Here is a 26,853-nt window from a genome sequence, read left to right on the forward strand (position 1 = left end):
AAATTAAACAGAGGCATAAGAATTAATAAAGAAGTAGTAAAGCAATTTCTATTTGCAGATGATATGATATTATACTTATAAATTTTTGATAATGATAAAATAAATTTAAACGATAAAAGAATTCAGTAATGTGGCAGATATAAAATTTACGGGCATAAATCAATACCTTTAATACACACAAACAATAGCCAGTGAGAGGGTATAATGATAGAGAAAACCTCATTTATACTGAAGACAAAAAAGAGTGAATATGGCCAGGTGTGGTGGCTCACGCAGGTAATCCCAGCACTTTGGGAGGCCAAGGTGGGTGGATCATGAGGTCAGGAGAGCGAGACCATCCTGGCTAACACGGTGAAATCCCGTCTCTACTAAAGATACAAAAAATTAGCTGGGCATGGTGGCTTGCGCCTGTAGTCCCAGCTACTCAGGAGGCTGAAGCAGGAAAATCACTTGAACCTGGGAAGCAGAGGCTGCAGTGAGCTGAGACTGCACCATTGCACTCCAGCTTGGGTGACAGAGCAAGACTCCATCAAAAAAAAAAAAAAAAAAAAAGTAGAAAGCCTAGAAATAGATCCAAGTAGATATAGAAATGTATAAGATAAAGACGATAACTCACTGTGGGTAATGATTGACCTTTAAATAAATAATACTTTTTAATAATAATAAGCAACCATTTGGAAAAAATATACAATTATACCCTATCTTACATCTACCACAAAAATAAAATCCAAATGGACCTGGGATCAAAATAGAAATAATTAAGCCATACAAGTACTTAGAAAAAAGCATGGGTGAATTCCATTTTAAACTGGATTTCTAACTATTATTAAAAAAATTCAAATGCAATTAATAAAAAGATTGATAATTTTTATTATAAACAAAAAATTGTGCATGGTAAAAAAATACTATAAACAAAAATCAAAAGGTATCTGATAAATGCTGAAAAATATTTGTAACATAGGATATAATGGATGAAGAACTAATATTTCTAATATGTAAAGAACTCTTAAAAATTAGAAGATGAAGAAAAAGAAATCTCTATAAAAATTGGAAAAAATAATAACAATTTATAATAGAGAAAAAGATAGAAGTTCCTTAAATATATAAAAACTATTCAAGCTTGCTCACAATTAGATAAGTATAATTTAAAACAACCCTGAGAAATCATTTCTCTCCTATCACACTGGAAAAAGTTTAAAAGTGTGATAATATACACTGTTACTGAAGTGGTAGGAAAAAAGATCCTCTTTCACACATTGCTGGTGGGAGTAGAAACTGGTATAACCTTCTAGAGGGGTATTTGGCAATTCCTAGCAAAACTACATTTTTTATTTGACCGAGAAACTCTAATTCTAAGAATTTATCCTGAAGCTACACCTCCAACAATGTGCAAATACATACATACAAGGTTAGTTACTCATTGCAGTACTGATTTTATTGCAAAATATTGGAAACAAGCTACAGAGTAGTTAAATTGACTATGGTATATTCACACTGGGTTATTACACAGCCATGAGGAAGATGTCTATGAACTAATATGTAGAGATGTCCAGTATTTATTGTTAAGGAAAAAAGTAAAGCATGAATCATATCTACGTGTAAGAAAAGAGGGGATATAAGAAGACAAACATGTATCTACCCAATTTTGCAAAAAGAAATACAGGAACGTTAAACCATAAACTATATGAGTGGTTACTTACAGAAGGTATGTAGGAACAAGGTGGAAAGAATGAGAAAAATAAAATCAGGGAAGAAAAATGAATGAAGCGCATATGCCTTTTGTATTAGCCCGTTCTCACGTTGCTGATAAAGACATACCTGAGACTGGGTAATTTATAAAGAAAGAAAAGTTTTATGGATTCACAGTTCCACATGGCTGGGAAGGCCTCACAATCATGACAGACAGGAAAAGGGATGTCTTAGATCGTGGCAGGCAAGAGAGAATGAAAATCAAGTGAAAGGAGTTTCCCCTTATAAAACTGTCAGATATTGTGGGACTTATTCTCTACCACAAGAAGAGTATGGGGGAAACCACCCCTCATGATTCAAGGATCTCCCACTGGGTCCCTCCCATAACACATGGGAATTATGGGAGCTACAATTCAAAATGAGATTTGGGTGGAGACACAGCCAAACCACATCATGTTTTATATAGTTCTGATGCTTGAAAACCTGATCATGCTTCACATAGTCAAATATAAATAATGAAAAATGTAATATAAAATGAAGGGAATGGAAAAATGGAAATGCAAAGAACTGACCTAAGTAACTTTGGAAGATAATGTTTTGACTGTAACCTGTAAGCTAAAGGTAATAACCATTTGCAATTATTATACTCTTAATATTTTTTCCTACAGGGGTGTGGGTTAGCAATTCTAAAATTTCTTTATGTGTATATCAGAACTGGGCAAAAAAGTAAACGTATTTGTGGATAAAAGCCTGTTTTTTCACTGTCAGGAAAGGAAGTAAATAAGAAAAGAGAAAGGCTTGAATGAACTCTGTAGTAGTTGATTGGAATTGGAGGTATCAGTATAAACTTGTTTTAAAATTATTAATATGGGGTGATTAATATAGAAATATAGATAAACACATAAGCATATGTGTATATATATGTTCATGTGTGTATATGTCATGTGTATACACACACACACACACACACACACACATATATATATATATATTTCCTAGCTCTGTAGGTTAGGGCCTAGAAGCAAGACACCTCAGTAGCAATGAGTGTATCTAGCACCCAGATTTTGGCTTCTAAATACTATTTTCCAATTAAAGGAACCAGAGCTCCTTGGAAAAACTCTTGATTCTGGGGCCAGGTTAAGGAAAATACACAATGATGCTGGGATATCTCATGCTGTCAGAAAGTCAGAAAATGCTAAAAAATGATTATGTCATGTTGGATAGATAGAGATACCAACATGAAAGAGCTCCCAATGGCCAAATATAGGATAGTTGGGGTAACAAAATAAATGATAGCATAGTTTATGATCTATAAGTTAAAATAAATATCTGTGAATCCATACTGATATAAATAAATAAATAGGTAAACGAAGGAGAAGAGATAGCTTTTCCTTACAGTAGAATTCCTATGCTAAATATAGAAAGAATGGTAGAAATAAGACCTTGTGAAGATGGCAGATAGGAGGCAGGACTAGCTTGCAGCTCCCACTCAGATGGACAGAGCAGCATGTGGAGACTCACATCATGAACTTTTGCTCCAAGAACTACTGCAGGAACATACCAAGAAAGCCAAAAGAATCCACAGACCCACTGAAGGAATTGGATCACCACTGCAGGCTCCCTGAGACCCCAAAAACCTGTGAGTCAGCTTGCATTCTCAGCAGGGAGGCCTGTGGTCTGAGGCAAGTTCTCAGCCTGGTCACTGGCTGCCTGGAAATAGACGCAAGGCTGTTAGTGGGGCACAGTGGGAGTGAGATGGGCCTCTAGGACTGTGGGCTGCATTTGGGAGAGGGGTGAGGCCTGTGACTGTTGACTTTCCCCCACTTTCCTGGTGACCTGTGTGACTCAGCATAGGTAGCCATAATCCTCTCCTTGGGAATATAACTCCATTGGACAGGGAACCACACCCCCATCCCCCACAGCAGCTACAGCAAGCCCTGCCCAAGGAGAGGCTGAGCTCAGACATGCCTATCCCTGCTACCACCTGGTGGTCTTTCTCTATCTGCCTTGGTAGTCGAAGGCAAAAGCAATAACCTCTTGGGAGCTCTATGGCCCTGCTCACCACCTGAGAAACCTGAATACTTAACCAGGTGTCCCTAGGGCAAGTTTACATCCTCCCTATAGGGCTGCAGCTGATGCACTCTTGAAAGTGTCACTTCCTGGCCGAAGGCCAATCAACACAAAACCAGCACACTGAACAAAAACACAACCAAAGGCCCTCACAGAGTCCACTTCATGCCCCTGCTACTTCCACCAGAGCAGTTGCTGGTATCCGTGTCTGCAAGATCTGAAGATGATCACATCACAGGACTCTTTGCAGACACTCCCCAGTACCAGACTGAAATCCAGTAGCTCTGCTGGGTGGCTAGACCCAGAAGAGCAAAAACAATCACTACAGTTTGGCCTCTGGAAGCCCCATTCCTAGGGGAAGAAGGAGAACACCACATCAAGGGATCATCCCGTGGGACAAAAGAACCTGAACAGCAGCCCTTGAATTCCAGATCTTCCCTCTGACATAGTCTGCCCAAATGAGAAGGAACCAGAAAAACAATTCTAGTAATATGACAGAACAAGTTTCTTTAACACCCTGAAAAGATCATACCAGCTCACCAGCAGTAGATCCAAACCAAGACAAAATTTCGGAATTTCCAGAAAAACAATTGAGAAGGTCAATTATTAAGCTAATCAAGGAGGCACCAAAGAAAGGTGAAGTCCAACTTCAAGAAATCAAAAACATGATACAGGATACGAAAGGAAAATTCTTCAGTGAAATAGAAAGCATAAATAAAAAACAATCACAACTTCTGGAAATGAAGGACACACTCAGAGAAATGCAAAATGCACTGGAAGGTCTCAGCAATAGAATTGAACAAGCAGAAGAAAATACTTCAGAGCTCAAAGACAGGCTTTTGAATTAACCAAATCCATCAAAGATACAGAAAAAAGAATTTTTAAAAATGTACAAAGCCTACAAGAAGTTTGGGACTGTGTTAAACATCCAAACCTAAGAACAAATCGTGTTCCTGAGGAAAAAGAGAAATCTGAAAGTTTGAAAAACATATTTGAGGGAATAATCCAGGAAAACCTCCCCAGTCTTGCTAGACATCTGGACATCCAAATACAAGAAAGTCAAAGAATACCTGGGAAATTCACTGCAAAAAGATCATCTCCTAGGAACATAGTCATCAGGTTACCGAAAGTCAAGATAAAGGAAATAATCTTAAGAGATGTGAGGCAAAAGCATCAGGTAACATATAAAGGAAAACCTATAAGATTAACAGCAGATTTCTCAGCAGAAATCCTACAACCTAGAAGGGATTGGGGTCCTACTTTTAGCCTCCTTAAACAAAACAATCATCATCCAATAATTTTGTATCCAGTGAAATTAAGCCTCATAAATGAAGGAAAGACACAGTTTTTTTCAGACAAACAAATGCTGAGAGAATTTGCCACTACCAAGCCAGCACTACAAGAACTGCTAAAAGGAGCTCTAACTATTGAAACCAATCCTCAAAATACACCAAAACAGAACCCCCTAAAAGCATAAATCTCATAGGACCTATATAACAATAACAATGAAAAAAACCAAGTTATTCAGGCAACAAATAGCATGATTAATAGAATAGTACCTCACGTCTCAATACTAACATTGAATGTAAATGGTCTAAATGCTCCACTTAAAAGATACAGAATGGCAGAGTGGATAAGAGTTCACTGACCAAGTTTCTGCCATCTTCAGGAGACTCGCCTAACACGTAAGGATTCACATGGACACCAAAAGTGAGCAAGAGTAGCTATTCTTACATCAGACAAAGCAAACTGTAAAGTAGCAGCAGTTTAAAAAGACAAAGAGGGACATTATACAATGATAAAAGAACTAGTCCAACAGGAAAATATCACAATTCTAAATATACATGCACCTAACACTGGAGCTCCCAAATTTATAAAACTATTACTACTAGACCTAAGAAATGAGATAGATGGCAGCACAATAATAGTGGGGGACTTTAATACTCCACGGACAGCACTAGACAGGTCATCAAGACAGGAAGTCAACAAAGAAACAATGAACTTAAACTATATCCTAGAACAAATGGACTTAACAGATATTTACAAAACATTCTACCCAATAACTGCAGAATATACATTCTATTCATCAGTACATGGAACGTTCTCCAAAATAGACCATATGATAGGCCACAAAACAAGTCTCAGTAAATTTAAGAAAATTAACATTATATTAAGTACTCTCTCAGACCACAGTGGAATAAAATTGGAAATCAACTCCAAAAGGAAGCCTAAAAACCATGCAAATACATGGAAATTAAATAACCTGCTCCTGAATGACTATTGGGTCAAAAATGAAATCAAGACGGAAATTTAAAAATTCTTTGAACTGAATGATAATAGTGACAAAACCTATCAAAACCTCTGGGATACAGCAAAAGTGGTGCTGAGAGAAAAGTTCATAGTATTAAATACCTACATCAAAAATTCTCAAAGAACACAAATAGACAATGTGAGGTCACACCTCATGGAACTGGTGAAACAAGAACAATTCAAACCCAATCCCAGCAGAAGGAAAGAAATAACAAATATCAGAGCAGAACTAAATGAAATTGAAACAAACAAAAAAAATTAATACAAAAGATAAATTAAACAAATAGGTGGTTCTTTGAAAAGATAAATAAAATCTGTAGACCATTAGCGAGATTTATCAAGAAAAGAAGAGAGAAGATCCAAATAAGCTCAATTACAAATGAAATGGGAAATATTACAGATGATACCAGAGAAATACAGAAGATTATTCAAGGCTACTGTGAATGCCTTTATGCACATAAACTAGATAACCTAGAGGAGATGAATAAATTCCCTGAATTATACAACCCTTCTAGATTAAACCAGGAAGATATAGAACCTTTAAACAGACCAATAACAAGCAGCAAGATTAAAATAGTAATTAAAAATTTGCCAACCAAAAAAAGTCCAGGACCAGACGAATTCACAAATGAATTCTATCAGATATCCAAAGAAAAATTGGTACCAGTCCTATTGACACTATTCCAAAAGATAGAGAAAGAGAGAGTTCTTCCTAAATCATTCTAGGAAGCCAGTATCATTCTAATACCAATACCAGGGAAGGACATAACAAATAAAGAAAACTATGGACTAGTATCCCTGGTGAACATAGATGCAAAAATCCTCAACAAAATACTAGCTAACTGAATCCAACAGCATATCAAAAAGAGAATCCACCATGATCAAGTGGGTTTCATACCAGGAATGCAGGAATGGTTTAACATATGTAAGTCCATAAATGTAATACACCACATAAACAGAATTAAAAACAAAAATCACATAATCATCTCAATAGATGCAGAAAAAGCATTTGACAAAAGTCCAGCATCTCTTTATGATTAAAACCCTCAGCAAAATCAGCATAGAAGGGACATATCCTAAGGTAATAAAAGCCATCTATGACAAATCCACAGCCAACATTATACTGAACAGGGAAAAGTAAAAAGCATACCCCTGAGACGTGGAACAAGACAAGGATGCCCACTTTCATCACTTCTGTTCAACATAGAAGTCCTAGGCAAGCAATCAGACAAGAGAAAGGAAAAAAGGGCAAATTGGCACAGAGGAAGTCAAACTGTTGCTGTTTGCGATGATCCTGGAAAACCCTAACGACTCATCTAAAAAGCTCCTAGAACTGGTAAATAAATTCTGCAAAGTTTCAGGATACAAATTAATGTTCACAAATCAGTAGCTCTGCTATACACCAACAGAAACCAAGCTGAGAATCAAACCTAGAACTCAACCCCTTTCACAACAGCTGCAAAGACAATAAAATACTGAGAGGTGAAAGACAAGAAAAGCTACCAAACACTGCTGAAAGAGATCATAGATGACACAAGCAAATGGAAGCACATCCCATGCTCATGTATGGGTAGAATCAATTTTGTGAAAATGACCATACTGCCAAAGGAAATCTACAAATTCAATGCAATTCTCATCAAAACACCACCATCATTCCTTCACAGAACTAGAAAAACAATCCTAAAATTCTTGTATAACCAAAAAAGAGCCCACATAGCCAAAGCAAGACTAAGCAAAGAGAACAAATCTGGAGGCATTACATTTCCAAAATTCAAACTATATTACAAGGCCATAGTCATCAAAATAGCATGGTACTGGTATAAAAATAGGCACATAGACGAATGGAACAGAATAGGGAACCCAGAAATAAAACCAAATACTTATAGTCAACTCATCTTTGACAAAGAAAACAAAAACATAAAGTGGGGAAAAGATACCCTATTCAACAAATGGTGCTGGGATAATTGGCAAACCACATGTAGAAGAAAGAAACTGGATCCTCATCTTTCATCTTACACAAAAATCAACTCAAGATGGATCAAGACTTAAATCTAAGACCTGAAGCCATAAATATTCTATAGGATAAAATTGGCAAAACCCTTCTAGACATTGGGTTAGGCAAAGTCTTAATGACCAAGAACCCAAAAGCAAATGCAACAAAAATAAAGATAAATAGATGGGACTTAAGTAAGCTAAAAAACTTCTGCACAGTGAAGGAAATAATCAGCAGAGTTAACAGACAAGCCACAGCATGGGAAAAAAATCTTTATAATCTATACATCAGACAAAAGAGTGATATCTAGAATCTACAAAGAACTCAAATAGGTCATCAAGGAAAAAACAAACAATCCTACCAAAAAGTGGGCTAAGGATTTGAATAGACAATTCTCAAAAGAGGATATACAAATGGCCAGAAGCATATAGAAAAATGCTCAACACCACTAATGATCAGGGAAATGCAAATCTAAATCACAATGCAATGCCACCTCACATTTGCAAGAATGGCCATGATTATAAAATAAAAAAAAAAATAGATGTTGACAGGGATGTGGTAAAAAGGGAACACTTTTACACTGTTGGTGGTAATGTAAACTAGTACAACCACTATAGAAAACAGTGTGGAGATTCCTTGCAGAACTAAAAGTGATATACCATTTGATCCAGCAATCTCACTAGAAGGTATCTACCCAGAGGAAAAGGAGTCATTATATGAAAAAGATACTTGCACATGCATGTTTATCACAGCAGAATTTGTAATCTCAAAAATATGGAACTGGCCCAAAAGCCCAACAATCAACGAGTTGATAAAGAAATTGTAGTATATATATATATATATACATGGAATACTACTCAGCCATAAAAAGGAACAAAATAATGGCATTCACAGCAACCTGCATGGAATTAGAGACTATTATTCTAAGTGAAGCAACTCAGGAATGAAAAATCAAACATCATACGTTCTCATTCATATGTGTGAGTTAAGCCATGAGGATGCAAAGGTGTAAGAATGATACATTGGACTTTGGACACTCAGGGGAAAGGGTTGGGCTAGCTAGGGCTAAAAGACTGCACATTGGGTACAGTGTACACTACTCGGGTGATGGGTGCACCAAAATCTCAGAAATCACCACTAAAGGACTTATTCATGTAACCAAATACCACCTGTTCCCTAAAAACCTATTGAAATAAAAAAACAAAAAAATAAATAAAATGTGTTTATGTGCATCAGGAATCATGTATAAAAATGTTTATCACCACATTATTCATAATATACAAAGAATGAAACCAAAAGAAGAATCGTAGAAATAGAAAATTACCATCGCATAATAATTGTTGCAGGTAAGATTCATCAGTGCATGCTAAAGTTAGTTGGCAAGTTGTGATATGAAGCATAATATCTTCATAACCTCAAAATGTCTCTCCACAAGACACTTAAAAATTACAAGGGGGAAAAATAGAAACTTTACATAGAGAAATCTGGCAGACACCAATTTTATGAAGGGATCAAAGTTCACATCACCATCATAAGATGTATCAACATCATGTACCTTTTGAGATGATGCACTAGAAAAGACGAACATCACTTTTGTGATATTCTTGTCTTTAATTCTGTCAATTGAAAAATAAGACAATTACTAATTGAGGGGTATTCCAAAAATAAAAAACAAAATTGGCCAGTAGTCTTCAAAAGAGTAAACGTCCTGCGAAACAAAGAAAGACTGAGAAGCTGTTACAAATTGGAGGTAAGGAGACATAAAAACAAGTACGATTTATCATCAGGGATTAGATCCAGAACCAGAAAGAGAACAATTGGTAAAGCTGAAATAAAATTTAGAGATTAGTTATTAATTTCTTGATAATTGCATTGTACAGTGTAACTTTACATTAGTGGAAACTGAATTAAGATATATTGAAACTCTGTACTATTTTTTTGCAACTGTTTTGTAGGTCATGTATTAGTTCACAATAAAAAGTTTAAAAAATGTAGTGAGTTCCTAGTCACTTGAGTTCAAGTAGAGAGTAACCAAGAAGAGATTTAAGCCACAGCTGGGTCATTTCAGTACACAATCTTTTAGGTTTCTTAAGCCAGGAGACTTTTATGAGAATGTTAACAGAATTCTTAGCTAACAGATAAATTATATGATTCCACACAAGCTTTGATCCAATGCTAATTCCCTTCAATTTGTAGAACGTGAGCAGTTAGAGCTATTTTACTCATTGCAGCAAATGATGCATGCTGTGAAGATCACAAAATGTACTATGAAATATCTGAAGTAGTTTAGAATAAAATTCCCTTAGGTTCAACTTCCAAGATTTTATATACTTGAGAACAAATTTATATTCATGGATGAATTTTCAGCCACACTTCAAATAGCCACTCTAAACTATACCAGATAATGACACAAAGGGCTGAAACAATTAAATTGAGGTTAAAGTTATGCTGTGAAGTGGAGAAAAGCAGAGCGCATGCAGTACATGCAGCAGGACTTTTTTTGGTTTGTATGTTTTTGTCAAAAGTAAAAATATATGCATAGAAAACAGCCAGATATTTTATACAACAAAATGTAAACAGTGGTTAACTCTGGGTAGGTGGAAGTGAGTTTTTTCTTTGCTTATCGGCAATTTCTAGATTTTCTACAATAATTATAAGTTAGTTTAATAATTATAAAAACAATAAAGTTTGTACTTTTAAAAAACTAGGCAGTGTAGCAAATTTTCAATTTTCTGAACAGCTAGTAATAAACTAAGCACTTCAAACAAATGGATGTAGTCAAAAATAAAGTATATTCCAGATGATTATTTTTGTTAAGATGACTGGGTGGAGGCTATAAATAGGTTTTAAGTGGATTTTTTCTAGTATGGTCATTTCAGTTAAAATGTCAGAAATTACTCAGAGACAAGTTTAGGCATCTTCATTTTAAGCTAATAATATAACAGAAAACAGCAATACACTGTTCTCGTTTTTTAAATAGTTTATTTTTTAAAGTGAAAAGAAAAGATGCACAGTTTTTAGGAAGAGGAAAAAGATACCCGTATTGAGTATTTTCTTCCAGCCTTATACTTTATGGGTCGTATATTAAATAGAAAGAATTAATTTTGCCCTGCACTTCAAACTCATGCGCATTCTCTAGCCATTAGAATCTAAAGCAGCACTTTAAAATTTTTAATGTGCATATTAGCCCACTGGGGGATTTTGATTATAGGTCTGAGGTGGGACCTTGGTTTGTACAGAAATCATCTGGAAGCTTATTAGGAATGGAGAATCTTGGATCCCATCTCATACCTAATCAATCAAAATCTGCATTTTAATAAGATACCCATTTGACTCGTATGTACATTAAAACTTGAGAAGCTCTGATCTAAAGAGCTCAAAATAGTCTAGCTGGCTTTTGGATTCTGTAGTTTCCTATGAAAATTACTTAAATAAATAATAATATTTTAAAAATACTATAGAAACCAACGCTGCTACTAAACTCTGTTAACAACTGACACAACATAACTTTAGAAAACTCTTTTTAGAGAGCTAAAACATTTTCCTTAAAATGAAAATAAAATTTCCTCGATTCTCAGGCGACTTTAAAATTAGTTCTTGTTGGCCTTATTTATCCTTTAAGCTAAGTGGTTATGTAGTAAATTTAAACACAATTACCTCCCTCTGCTTTGTCTCTCATTTGAGAGGGAATATTTCAGAATCTGTTTTTAAAACACCCTACTGGCAAAATGGAGGACCTTGCACCTTACAGATCCTATAATGATAGGATTGTAAATAGATTAAAAGTTTCAGGATATCTATGTTTTTGATTCACAAAAATAAATGAGTGAGTTTCTGGAACTCTAAAACAAAACATTAAAAGGAAAGAAAATGGAATCCAGGGTAATTTTATGAACTTGGTATTAAAAGAGAAAATAGAGTGATCACCCACAAGCCAGCCAATTATTTTATAAGTCCAATTTTCTTTATTCATAGATGACAAAATGTGGGGTTCTAGAAAATTATCATTTCATTTCAGAAAGAGTCATACTGGTGGCTATCACATTAAGACTTTCTAACTAAAAAACTCTGACGTTTCTTACTATTTCTTCTGAACTTTCAAAATGGTAAACTGCTTAGATTTCTACTTATTAGGGGTTCAAAAAGAAGTAATTGTGTGGCCATGTTTAAATTGAATTTCAGTCTTATGAATACCTTCAATTCTTGTAAATTTTATGGGATCACATTTAAATCTACTGAAGCCATTGTATTGCCATAATTTCTACACCTTAACCTTAATTTGATGATATTCTCACTCCTACCAGGACTTCCAAGAAAATATTCTGAAAATTGTTAACATAAACTTTAATTAAAAAAAAGCATATTGTAGAAATAAAAGAGAGCTCACTAAATATGTTTAAAATCAAATCTGCTTTTAAAATATCCTGAGAACACCTACTATTAAATGTAGTACCATTAGATACAAACTGATAAATTGAGCCTAAGTGTTTGAAAGTACAACCATAAAACAATCAAAAGAAGTAGTGTTTTTATAGAGTAACTGCTGTGTCTACCACACAGTTTAATGCATCACTATATACGATACATATGTTAACATTGCTTTGAGAGCAAAAAACGGCACTGGGAAGAAAAAGATAAAAATGAAAGTCCTTTCTAAGTCATCATTCACTTCCATGTAATATTTGCTGCTGAAGAAAAGGGTAAGAATTAAAAGTTGTTTTAGTCTTAGGAAAAGTCCTCATAAGGTTTTCAGTCCTAAATGTGTTTTTGCTAGCATTTTAAATTACAATGTGAACATTTTAAACTTTGTGATTTAGAATGTTTTGTAGAATTTTGTAAACAAATTTACAAGAAAAAAACAAACAACCCCATCAAAAAGTGGGCGAAGGACATGAACAGACACTTCTCAAAAGAAGACATTTATGCAGCCAAAAGACACATGAAAAAATGCTCATCATCACTGGCCATCAGAGAAATGCAAATCAAAACCACGATGAGATACCATCTCACACCAGTTAGAATGGCAATCATTAAAAAGTCAGGAAACAACAGGTGCTGGAGAGGATGTGGAGAAATAGGAACACTTTTACACTGTTGGTGGGACTGTAAACTAGTTCAACCATTGTGGAAGTCAGTGTGGCGATTCCTCAGGGATCTAGAACTAGAAATACCATTTGACCCAGCCATCCCATTACTGGGTATATACCCAAAGGACTATAAATCATGCTGCTATAAAGACACATGCACAGGTATGTTTATTGTGGCATTATTCACAATAGCAAAGACTTGGAACCAACCCAAATGCCCAACAATGATAGACTGGATTAAGAAAATGTGGCACATATACACCATGGAATACTATGCAGCCATAAAAAATGATGAGTTCATGTCCTTTGTAGGGACATGGATGAAATTGGAAATCATCGTTCTCAGTAAACTATCTCAAGAACAAAAAACCAAACACTGCATATTCTCACTCATAGGTGGGAATTGAACAATGAGATCACATGGACACAGGAAGGGGAACATCACACTCTGGGGACTGTTGTGGGGTGGGGGGAGGGGAGAGGGATAGCACTGGGAGATATACCTAATGCTAGATGACGAGTTAGTGGGTGCAGCGCACCAGCATGGCACATGTATACATATGTAACTAACCTGCACAATGTGCACATGTACCTTAAAACTTAAAGTATAATAATAATAATAAAAAAGAGGTCACTATTCAACTTTGACTTTCAAAAAAAAAGAACCTTTTTAATTTAAAATTTTGTATTTGTGTTTAAGGCTAACCTTAAAGACCACAGGTACTTTTACTAAGGGAAGGTTATACAAAAAATGTCAGTCTGTGGTTTAGGATTTCTTCCTGTTGTTTTAAAATTTATGATAGTATTTTATTTAATTTTAATTAGTCCCTGGAAATAAAAAGTTTTACCTTTCCAGAATATTGTATTATCCATCTTTTACCACTAATCATTATTTTTCATAGCGACCATTTCAGAGAAGTTTCCTGAAAGACTTGATCATCACAGTTGTTTAAATATCTATATTTAACAAGTCAATATTTATAGCTGAAAGATACCTGGATTGATCAAAGTTTTATACTTTACATAAATCATTTTAATTTTCGATTTAAAGAAGATTGTGGGTAAGTTGTTCTTCATCATTCTCCCAGGACAATGTACTTATGTGCAAGCAGTGTCTGATTCTTTCACGTTTCTAGTTATAGTTATTTGACCCTACTTTCCAAACTATAACCAAGGCTTTTAAATGAGGATGTTAAGTTGTGGTATTTTAGATAATAATTTCCATGGTTTTGATGAAATAAATAAGAAAATTGAGCTTAGTCATGTTAAATGAACAAAAGCAGGCCCCAGAAGACTATATATAGCATGATACCATCTTTAGAAGGCTCAAAATTAGCAAAGCTAAACAATATAGTATGTTAGAAGTACATACATTTGTGATAGAAGAATACAACAAAAAATATGAGTAAGATTCAAGATAGCTGTAATCTGTAAGGGGTAATCACGAGGATGATATAGGTGACTAGCACAGAAGGTAGTTACAAGTTATTGGGATGGACACACACACACATATATGCGCTTCATTATGAATATAACTTAACAATTTCTAAGTGCAACACTAAGAGGTTTACATTATTCAGGAGCAAATTGGCGATGAAAGTGTTGGAATTCCCCTCTTAGCTAGGGAAACACATTTTTCCTAAACATATGGAGCGTTGTGTTCTTTGGCCTCCACCTTTTACTGTACTATTTAATTTATGACAAATATTTAGTGATATTTTCCTTTGATTTCTAAACTCTAAACATATGCACAATTGTCTCTTTGTATAATATATTTTGTACACCTTATTTTACTATTCAACTCACTTTTAAAACAATGGTATCAGGAGACTAGTAGTTTTATTTAATCAATGAGAATAAAGAAAATCTCAAATTATTCTGCTCATATTTATAGTTGGTGTTATATGATCATACTTTTGATCAATGAGTACATTACTCCTAGCAGTGTATTTATTTCTAAAATAATGCTTTTGATTCCAGAGATTAGGTGCATGTAGATTCTGATTTCCATTAACTCATGTAGAAAAAAAGACTCCTTTTTCCTAGGAAATCAATAGTGTGGAAAGCAAGGGCAACTTGATTATCACATATGAGAGCTTGGGGAAAGAAAAAATCTCATATCAATATCACACTGCCATTTCAATGAATAAGAAGGATCCCTCACCATTTTTGGAAGGCTGAGATCTAGGAAAGGATGAGAAATTCATGTGCAAATTCTTTTAGTTTTATAAAATATTATAAAATGATTCTTCCATATTTAAGGAGATGGAACATTCGTAAGGGCTTGCAAATGCTCACGAGAATGTATTCTGTAATATTTTTTTTCTGCTGGGTACTGGAGGGATTAGTTCTAGTAAGACTGATAGGCAAGCTGCCTAATATACTTTCAACAGAACAACACTTCTCACTGCTAGTTGTATAAATATTTGCCTTTACATGAAAAAATAAAACTTCCCTTGGAGACTTAAGGTATACCTTTGGAATGGAGGAGGGAAAAATAAAATATACAAATTAAATTAATTTGGACCATGAGTTCTGCGAATCTAATCTGAATTTATGCAGGTTACTTGAGGTTAAAAAAGAATTCCCTACCCTTCTTAAAGAGCCTGTTTAACTCTTCCTATTATAAAATGTATAGATTTTAAACTGATTAAAAGAATTAAAAAGTCCTTCAAAAGAGACCTTGAAATAAAATTAAATAGCATGGAAATTAATTGAGGCAAGTGAAGTTAATGTTGGGCTTGATTGAATAAAACAAACAACTGATAATGTTTTTCATGACTATCATATTTAGTATCACTTTCAATTTAACAGCAAGAACAACTTTTACTGTACCTGACGAGGGGTTCTTTCTGATTTACTCCTACACCACTCCCAGTCTGAAAGATCTGGTTTCTGACTCTCTTCATGAGACAGTCTTCTTTCTGGCCCTTCAGAAAAGGTAGTTTCTTCATAGTTAATATCACCTCCTGTTTTGTCAGAAAACGCATCCTTTTTGTTGTTGGAATCCTGTTTAGCTTCTGTAATATCAGTATTTGTGCATTTGTTGATGCCTCTTTGTGTGGAGCTGTCCAGAGAGGGCGTGGTGCTGATTTCTACTTTTATAGCATTGAAGATGTTACGGTTGTCTCTCTGAGGGTCTTTTGTAGTTTCACACTCAGAGTTCATCAGGTTGTGATAGAATATGGAATTTTCATCATCATCATAGTAATCTTCATGTGCTATTTTATAAATCCCATAACTTTTTTGGAATGATAGATTGAATTCAAAGCCTTTTCTCTTGACTGAGTAAAAATAAAAACAACAGTTTATGGCTAGTAAGGTAGATAAAGACAACATTGTATATATATAGCAAATAAAAATAGAAAGCGCATTCAACTTGATTATTATACATTTTAAAACTATCTTCATTTACTTTTTGTCAGTTATGCAAAGAAATTATGCCTCAGAAAATTATCTTTCCACCCTGTGCCTAATTTTTCTCATTTACAAAATGATGGTCTTTAAATACATACAATCTTAAAAACTCTTTCAGTCTCTAAAGAAGCCTTACATAACAAAAACTTAGCCATACATTAGGAAATTCTCAAATACATTGTTTTAGCTTTTCTTAGTCTACCAATGATTTTGCACATTTCCTTATATTTTGGGATAAGAGATATTATTTATAAATTTTATTTTGCTAGAAATTAATTATTAAGTAGCCTTAATATTATGTGAGTTATTCAGCTAAGAATACCACCAATAAATATAACTTCTTAAAATATTTTGGTATATAATTTTTTGTCATTTATATGTCTATAAGTGCATACATTAAAAATTAGACTATACTGCAAAACAGCTTTTAAATTTTAAAAAATAACATGTACATTTCTGATACAAATAAATGTGAAAAGAACTGGTAAAAATTAGATGGATTAATATTTTTTGTAAATTGAAGCACTTTACAATGTCTATAAAGCTGATTATTACAAGAAGAGTTTAGCAGGAATGCATAAAACTTTTTATGATTTAAATCAGGTGAAATATGATGAAATAATAATTATAGTACTATTAGTTGGTGGAGTGATGCAAAATCTTAGAATAAAAAGCAAGAAAGTGACAGAAAGTGATACAATTTTTATGTTGAATGTCATTAAATGCTAGATAAGTTTTATATATTAAGAATGAAGTTATATCAAGGTGGTAGACAAGATATAATTTAATGTTTTTGCTTTCATCTGTCAAAACATGGTTTGTTTCAAACATATTTTCTACTTTGATAGCTCTGTGTTTTATACTGAGACATTTAGCTATCTTCGATAGAAAAAAATGTATGAAAAGCTATAATCTTTCTATGGAAAAGATAAGTAAAATTTGATCCATTTTGCAATATACCCGAGTGTCATTCATATGCTGATTCTATTACTGAAATGTTTCTCAGAATCTAAGATTTATAAACCAATTCTGTTGACTGAAAAATAGAATTTATTAGTATCATTCATTGTTGTTTGAGCCAGAACACAAACAAGAACAAGTTTGATTCAAAGAAAAAATAGAAGTAGAAACAGATGTTCATATTTTATATACTGTCTCATTTATATTTTTACTGACCTTTTCTAGTAACATAGTCAAGTAAAATTAAGTTATACTGTTTAACTTGCTTTAAGAATGTGAAAGGTGAAGGAACTAAAAGGATGTTTAAATTATTGATGGGTTTCTATTGTTCTCCAAAAAAGATATAAAGTGACAAATTGTCATTTCAAGGCCATTAAGAAAACAAATGCTGTCATAAAATCCCAATTTTGTGATATAACATGATAAAATTGATGTCTATGACTATAATTTTATTAGTTGCACATTGTAATCTCAAATATATAAAGCAAAAATTAGTAATGTTTTTGAAGGAGTGTGCAGAATGTGTTAAAGGAGACTTCACCTCCATGTCACAAGGGACAAGGGGCAGTGTGAGGTAGGCTATGAAAAGAAAGGAGAATTATCAAGAGACCATGATGTGATAGAACATTCTGAGGCCATTTTGCACATCGATTATCTCATTTAACACACAACAACCCTACATAATAAAAAACGTATTGATTCTATTTTACACTGGAGAAAACGGGGGGTGACAGACGAAAGCTACTGAAGATTGCTTACAGGTAAAACGATATGAATTTAAAGCTAGCTGTTTTCAGAATTGGAGTTGTCTTTATTTGAAATTGTTTTCTTGCTAATCAGACCCATGAAAGAATTATGTTAATGGAAGCAGAATTACACAATGTGCTGTTTTTAAGTCAGAGGAAATACAGTAATTATGAAGTGTAATCAATGGAAACATTTCTTGTTAGTGACTTATCACTTAAATGGCAAATTCTGCCTGAAGTAACTAATGTACCTGAACTTGAGATAATAGGTTATAACAGTATCATAAAGTTGACAATGTAAGATGAGAGGCTGGTTGTAAGGGGGCGAATCCCTATAAAAACAAATTAAAACAACATAGTTAATAATCAAAATTAGGTTGAAGAAAATATGAGAATCAGAGTCAAAACTAATCATTTTTAAGTTCTTTGAGGGTAAAGATTAGGTCTTTTTAAAAAATGAACCAAAAATATAAAATAAAAAGTGTCTATGGGGCCAGTTAGGTAACATTAATTATTATTATTATTTTTTATTATTATTATACTTTAAGTTCTAGGGTACATGTGCACAACGTGCAGATTTGTTACATATGTATACATGTGCCATGTTGGTGTGCTGCACCCATTAACTCGTCATTTACATTAGGTATATCTCCTATGCTTTAATTATTAACAAAGGCAAATGGGAAAGTTCTTCCTCCATCTAAGGAGGATTCTCAGCTCCAGCCAGTTGTGGGGAGATTAGGGGTTGTGTTGTCAATAATTCTAATTTTTCAGACAAACCACGTTCATAGACTTGATGTAAAATATCCTGATCTTAAAATTTCGGTCCATAATTAAAATTAGTTTTAAGTAACAATAAAAATTGGTTAAACACCAGATCTTTGAACCAAATTCAGCTCATGGGTCATGGGTTGGGAATTTCTGTTCCTTACTGAACATGCAGCACAGTGCTAGACACATAGTGACTTTTTCCCTAATAAATATTTATTTATTGAGTGAGTGAATTAATGAATGAATGAAGCAACCTGTAGGAATCATGCTTGGTGTGATAGGAATGGTTTGTTAGGTTAGCCTTGACTCAATGATGCTAGCTGAATAACATATGATTTCAAAAAAATGGTATCTTTATAATATTGATTTATTTATAGGAGGAAGGCCTTGACAGTGCTACAGTTCCTGACTCCTACTTTTATATCACTAAAAAAATACATAGTTGAGATTTTTTAAAAACTGTTTTTTGTATTTCGTGTGTGTGTCTGTGAAAGATAGAGATCTTTCACTGATTAATAATTTGCAAGAAACTTAAAAGCCATCAGAATATTGTCTAGAATCTTTTGAAATTTATACTAAACATCTTAAAAATAAATATAATTTTTGTTCTTAAAAGCAAAATCTTTATTCTTCCAAAATCCTTGATAAAATATGAATTAGCTCTAGTCTTCTGCTTTTAGTCACATCTTGCCAATTACAATTTTAGATGTGAGTAATTACATCCACTTATAAAAACAAATCATTTTTCGGAGTAATGTCACTTACCAGATACTATCATTTTGTCAAAAAAAAAAAAAGACCAAAAATCTGTTTTTTATACAATGTGTTTGACATTTAGCTGTTTAATTTAAAAAACGTCATGTCAGGCAAACAAAATGAGTCTGAAAGCCATATCCAAACAGTGTGTCTACTGCCTGAGACCTCTATGTTAAAATCATTTGAGAAGCAAAACAAAACAAAACAAAACAACAACAACAACAAAAAAACACTTTTGAGACACTAGTAGTACAGATTCTTGTTGGAAACAGGAGAGGATTATTATTTCTGCAAATTATTTTCCACTGCTCACATTCATTTTCTGGTTGCACTTCTCTCAGTTCCCATTTAGTGAAGTTGAGATGTATAATTATATTTACATCTTCAACATTAACCTATGATAAATATGTTAGGAAAAAATATTTTCTCTCTCTTGCTTCTGAAGTTCACTGACTGATAAAGGATGTAAAGAGAGGGAATCTTAGTTTGTTATGGACAAAAAGTTTAAACATAAAACTCGAACCATCAAAGAATTAAGATACTCTAGCTGATCAACCACCTGGCCCACCTAAGCATGTGCTACCTTTGGGGTTTTAAAATTTTGTTGTGTTACACTATCAATAGGAAAATTGATGGTGGCTTCTCAGACAGTAGAAACACATCATTGTTATTATCAGAATTTTCTGATATCACAGCCTGGATCATAAGAGGGAATGGAGTCATTTGAACTATAAGCATCTTAAGCTAAAGTTTCTCACAATGTTTTATTTGTGAAGCCATGCTTCTTTTTCATAAGCCTTCATATTTCAAGTCTTTCTTTGGAATTTTAAAATAAACACAAATAAAAGCAATGGTAATTTTAGAAAAAAATATTATTTTGATCTCGAAAGACATATTTTTAATTTCAAACCTGTGATATGAGTGTGACTGTTGATTCTGCTAGCCTGCCGTAAGACTCTTCTGTCTGTGCAGTACAGAAAGTAGAATATTTCATAGGTCATTTACAAGAATAAGTCTGTTGTTTGCTTTGTTTTCAGCTCTGAGATGGGTGGTCCCCACTTCTTAAAAATGACTGCCTTCAACCAATTCATTATGACTTTTCATTTTCACTGGCACTAGACCATCCTTCTCACAATTTTAGATGTTGTAAGACCGGGCTCGTTCACTAGTTTAGTGGCAAAATGCTAAGATTTATTAGAATGTTAGAGTTTTGAGGTTTGTGAATTGTTTCCTTTATGTTATATGTTTTTATAAGTGGCCCATAAGGGTTTATTATTAATTTTCTCTGTCACTGTTGTTCTGGATATTAATCTTTAGAGACACATCATTATTATAAGTTCTAAGGTTATTTTAAAGACAAATGCATCTGCCATCTACTACTAATAAAACTTAATGGCATTCTTAACAATAAAAAATTTTCTGGTAATTTGAAAAATATCTAGACATTCTAAATATTAAATGCCATCACTATGACATAGGAAAAATGGCCAGTTCATGGCTAATTATATAAAATAACTTTGTCGTTGAATTGATGGCAGAGTATACTTTGATATCCTCTAGATTTTGCAACCCTAAAATAGCCTGAGATGGACTGTTTAAATTTAACCTTCATCTCTGTTAAAGAATAATATACTTGCATACTCTGAGCAAAGGACAATTAATAGGACAGTTAATGCAGCATACACTAATGCATTCTCAGATTAATTAAGTGATAGAACATCCTATATTTTGTCTAGAATAATACAATAATCTCCTTTTTCTTCCTGGCAGAGTCAAAATATACAGCTCATTCCTCAACACTTTTCTTGTCTTAGCATATGGGAACAATTACACTGTAGGGAGTTCTGGAAGGGACCCTGCTTTCCACTCTCATTCTAGGTGTACTCTTCAGACCACAGAATCTTCTTTAAGTAAATAACTTGGCTAGATCCATACATGAACACACAGTAACAAACTGTCACTTGTGTCTTTTTTTTTTAAACTGAGGGTTTTGTTTGTTTTTATGTTTGGACCAGGGCGTGTGTGTGTGTGTGTGTGTGTGTGTGTGTGTGTGTGTGTGTGAGACAGAGAGAGGCCTACACTTACAATTTGTTTTGGAACTGTTTTCAAGCACTCTGATTCCTTACTCTGAAAACTTTCCAAAACCCTGGAAGAATACTAGCAGTAAAACAACAAAAATGCCTTTCTTTACTGTTCCATTGCATAATAATGTTATAATGTAATGAGTTTTCAACTCCTTTCAGAGGGTTAATAATCCTTTTTCAAATGCAAGCTTCTTATAGCAATGCTGCATCTCATTCTAGACTTGGGAGGGGAATATATTTTCTATTCTGGACTAAGAACTATGGTGAATGTATCATCTAAGTGCCTTTGTTGACATGGTGTGCTGAATGAATCCTAGTCTTCCCTTTTTTTTTTCTACCTAAAATAATTATTCAGTACCACAGGCACTTCATGGGGTTTTTCAAAACCAGCTGAATTTAAAATCTACCCCCAAACTGTTGTAGTGATTGTTTCATGTTATAATTTCTTCTCACTATTTACCACTGACATTTATCCTTGGACTCTCCATCCCCTACTGAGGCAACTTTGTTAATAGACCACTTTTCTGAAAGTCACCTAATGCATATTGCTGCCAATCACTGCAGTGTTGAGGACTTACTTTTTTTCCCATCGGACGCCACTGCATATGCGTTCTGCCTGCAGTTGATGATGCAGCCACAGGGCAAGTGGGTCCAGCGTTTGGACAAGACAAACACTGGGGTTACAGTGGTGGCCAGCAGGGTAAGTAGAAAGCTGAATGTCTCCAAGGGAAGGCTCTGAAACCCCACGACGTTCTGGACCACCATGTGCATCTGCAAGGGCAAGAGAACTTCAGACCTAACCTAAAATTATACTTTGTACTTCTCAAGCCTTTTCTCCACGCACGCTGCCTCAGTTCCCTTTCCAGTTCCTTCTCCTGATGGACAGCGGGGACCTCTGCTACGGAGCTGGCTCCCTGTCCTTGGTGATGGGCTCCTGGGAACGGCGGGGCACACCCCCAGGGTTGGGAGGGGTTTCAGCTTTTGAGTGCCGGATCTGCGCCCGCTGCCTATTCAAGACTCCACCAGAAAGGCACAGTCTACAACGTGGGGGACGCTAGCTAGGAAACAGGCGTCCGTGAAACCCGCATCTGATTCTCCGAATGGCCTTTGTCGCCTCCCTGGACCCTCACCTCCGCCCATGCGCGCTCGTCACAGTGGGGCGCCACTCTGCCACCTCTTAATCGGCTTCCTCCTGGAAGGAGGAACAAAAGCCTGTTTTGTTCCCTGTCTTCTCCCTCCACAACTGATCTCTCCTCCCCTCTATCCCGCCCTGCTGGAGATGGGCGTCGTCCTCTCTAGGCGGGAATGGAACGGCGAGAAAGGGATGACAGAAGGTTGTGGGGAAAAAACCTTTTAATTCCCTCTTTCCTTTTCTGAATACTCTCTGATTTTGCTGTGTGAGACAATATCCTTGGCCACCACCGATATGGAAAACTAAGTCGCTCGCGACGGAAAGCGATCCCCATGCCCCTGACTTTTGAAAGGAGAAGCATTTAGTAGTAAAGGTTTCGCAGCCAACTAGCCCTGTCCCGAACTGCCTTCTTCTAAGTGCATGTCTAAAACCCAGCGAGATACACTTGGAAGCGGACTTCACTGTGTGTCTCTTGGTGACTCCCCAAACCGGCGACGCCGGTCCCAACACTCATTTACACTGTCTGGCACACACACTCGCGCTTTGTGAGCAACTGCACTTTTACCATCATGGGCAGCCAAAGGACGACTTTTGTAAGCGCTAGGATCAAAGCGAAGCGCTTCTGCGCTACGCTCACGGTGAAGCTCCTGGTGCCATAGAGAGTCCCCCGGTTCTCACGCCTGCAGGCTTCAGCCCCAGCGGCAGCGGGCGCACCCGGTCCGAACACGGTGTCGGAGCTCGGAGAGCATCCCCCAGAGCGCCGCAGACTCGGGCCTGGAGCATCCTCTGGGGACAGGGAAACCACTCTCCCCGCAGTAGGAGGGGTCCCAGGAATTGAAGCTCCACGGGAAATTTCCTGGTAGTTGGAGTGGAGTCTCGGCGGCTCCTCCGAACACAGCAATCGGTGAGTGAGTGGGACTGAGAGGCCCACGAGGAGTCCGAAGGCCAAAGCGTACACGATAGAGAGGAATAGTACGTAGGAGCTGGAGCAGTCCACCAGGCAGCCCCAGGGCGTGCGCACGAAGGCGCCCCAGCCGCACAGCGGGAGCGCCGAGAGCAGCAGACTGGCTGCCCACACGGTCAGCACCACGCCGAGCACCTGGCCCGATCTTCTGGAGGCTGTCTGGCTCCCCACACCTCTGTGCATCGTATAAAAGTTGTAAGAGACTAGGAGAGTCGCCTTCAAGTTGCTAGAGAGGCCCTGGCATAAATACATTAAGGCAGAGGTGGTGCACAGAAATTGGAAGTAACCGGGGACCTCGTTTGGCCACTGCAAAAACATGAAGATGGTCACCGACAGGACGCTCATGAGATCATCCACAGACCAGGAAGCCACAAGCATGGACACAACAGTTCTGTTCTGCATTTTCAGCAGGGAAATTAGTGAATAAATGCTGCCCACCAAGGCTGCAAAAGTCATGAGACATGTCAAGCAAAAAAGATAGATATTCAGGGTTCCTGGCGGATTTAAAAGGTCCGTAGAATTATGATTCTCTTTCCACAGGCTAGAGTCATTTGTTGATAAGTTACTGAGAAATAAAGACATTGTCCTTGGTCAATATTTAATTTCCCTTATCAATGAGTCTGATAATTTTCTCAAAAGAAAGACCGGCTGCTGCAAATCAGATTTCATTCCTCCTACCAAGTTCCCCTCTAGATGTTCTCCTTGTCAGTCCTGCAGAAAATGGTCAGCCATGTCTCCTTTAGATCTGACTCAAGCTATATTTAAAAATTAGGTTCCATTTCAAGCATAAAAAAAAAAAAACCCGAACAGATAACTTTTCAACATTCCAATTAAAAACAAAGCAAAAACTCCTTCCCACCATCAAGTTTCAGGGAAGAAAGCCAAAAAAATAAACAAAACAAAACTCTTCAGGTACATTAAAAACCAATGATGTCTGGATCCTTTGGGGTCCTTCTTATGGAGCAAAGCAGCTTGTAGCTTGAGATAATCAAACTCTGTTCACTTTTAAGAGCAGTAAAATGATGCATTTGGTTCCAGAGCTGGATTCAAAGGCAGGAGATTGTCAGGTAGGTTTCAGCTTTGAAGGTGGAGAGAGAGAGAGAGACAGAGAGAGAGAGAGAGAGGGCGAGCGCGAGCCAGTCAGAGGGAGCTTGTGCACAGAATCCCATCTGAACCGCTGTGTTCTTCAATCAGCCTGTGATCCTCGGAGCTGCAGGAAGGAGGAGTCAGCTCCAAGCAGGAGAGAAGCAGGAAAAAAAGGGAGGGGAGTTCAGTGTGTGAACAAAATGATATACGTATATCTTAGACTGACTCTTTCAAAGCAAGAAACGGTGTACTTGCTAAGCTTCCCCTTTGGTTTCAACATGTAAAATTAGTCCAAATACTTGCTCAGGCTTGATGTGAACTACAAATATAACCTGTGAGAGGTCTAAGCTACTCCAGTAACTAAGGGACTGCTTTTATTCTTACCTAGACTTTCTGCTTCATAATCCATTGGAGGAAGAATATCATCAATCCCATGCATAAGAGTCAGATGTATCAGATTTCTTTTAAAAAAATAGTGTACTTAAGATTGTCGTTATAGTCCTCATTACTCTAAACGGGATTATACAGAATCTTTGGATAGAGTCACACTAGCTTTAGACATTTATTTATAACTATTTTCTGTCAATGGTATCAAGTAAGCAGGCTGTCATTCGAATAAATTATATGTCTAAGTATCCATAAAGTCGGAAGATATTACATAGGGCCTAAAAGGAAGATCACCCTACATTTTTAACCAGAGTATTTGGGACATACAATAGTTGTATCTCTTAATGGTCAATTTTGCAAGATGCGTGATTTAGCAAAGAAGTATCTAACAGAAGTACTTCTGGTCCAGCATTTCCCAGGATGCTTTAGGGCAGCATTCTTCTCAGCTTAGCCTCATGACCAGATGGCTGCATTCTCCCACATAGTGCTGGAGGTTTAAATGGAAACAGGGGAAGGGAAAGGAAATAGTTGATATTGATAATGATTTAATAACTGGAAGTAGTAATAGAACTGCGATCATTCTTTTCATTTTAGAAATAACTGAAGTATCATTTTGAACCCGAATCTGTTCAAGTAGAAAATGGTTGCATTAGTCATTACCAGCCACACCCTTCAATAAACACAGCAGGTATTTCACTTATCTTGATATGTTGATTGTTTGATTTTCCCCCTTACTCAGCAAATGGAAACAAAAAACACATGTAACAGCTAGCTCAGCACTCTAGCTCTCCCTACTGATAGTATAGACTGTGTAGGGCTGTGTGAGTAGGAAAGGTTGAGGGTATATTCATTTTAAAATAATGTTGATTCAGAAAGTATGATGAAAAACAAATCTTATTTTTGAAGACTTCAAAGTTCCATGACATGCCATTCTGTCTCTTCTCACAAACCTTATTCTTCCTTGCCATAGCAAAAATATTATTCTTCAATATCGTATTGAATCCTGCATTTTCAGTTAGGTTGGACAATAAGTCTCAGATTGTTAATATACAATGAATAGAAATTAATAATAGCTACTGTAGTACCATTTCAGGTCTGAGAACATTTCCCCTATTATTATCATCATTTCTGGGTTTTCCATTAAATATAAATTTGGAAAAGGGATACTTAATCACCATGTTGTACTGTTCTTTGGGCTATTACAGAAGAAACAAGAATGTTTAGCACATTTCCAAGGGTTGGTAGCAGAACTGCAGCCAGGAGAGAGCTAGTAGAGATATCTGAATTTAACTTTAGACTCTGCTATTGCAGGATAGGTAACCTAGGACAACAATTCTTGTACTTTCTCTGGCTGTCTGTTTCTGCATCTGTAAAATAAAGAGGCATCTTAGTCTATTTTGT

The 26,853-nt window shown here is 35.8% G+C and overlaps 1 protein-coding gene across 1 annotated transcript in view; it reads right to left on the bottom strand.

Annotated features, from left to right (window-relative positions):
* The window catches only part of GPR149 (G protein-coupled receptor 149), a 95,248-nt gene extending 70,112 nt beyond the window's left edge, over positions 1-25,136 (bottom strand). Inside the window, exons 1-3 of the mRNA NM_001038705.3 lie at positions 23,581-25,136; positions 22,462-22,654; positions 15,985-16,433 (exon numbers count right to left, since the gene is read on the bottom strand). Coding sequence (NP_001033794.1) covers positions 15,985-16,433; positions 22,462-22,654; positions 23,581-24,561 — 1,623 coding nt within the window. The 5' untranslated portion in view covers positions 24,562-25,136. The remainder of the gene's footprint in view (positions 1-15,984; positions 16,434-22,461; positions 22,655-23,580) is intronic.
* Between the last annotated feature and the right edge of the window lie 1,717 nt (positions 25,137-26,853).

Source organism: Homo sapiens, chromosome 3 (assembly GCF_000001405.40).
Source record: "Homo sapiens chromosome 3, GRCh38.p14 Primary Assembly".
Taxonomy (NCBI): Eukaryota; Metazoa; Chordata; class Mammalia; order Primates; family Hominidae; genus Homo; species Homo sapiens.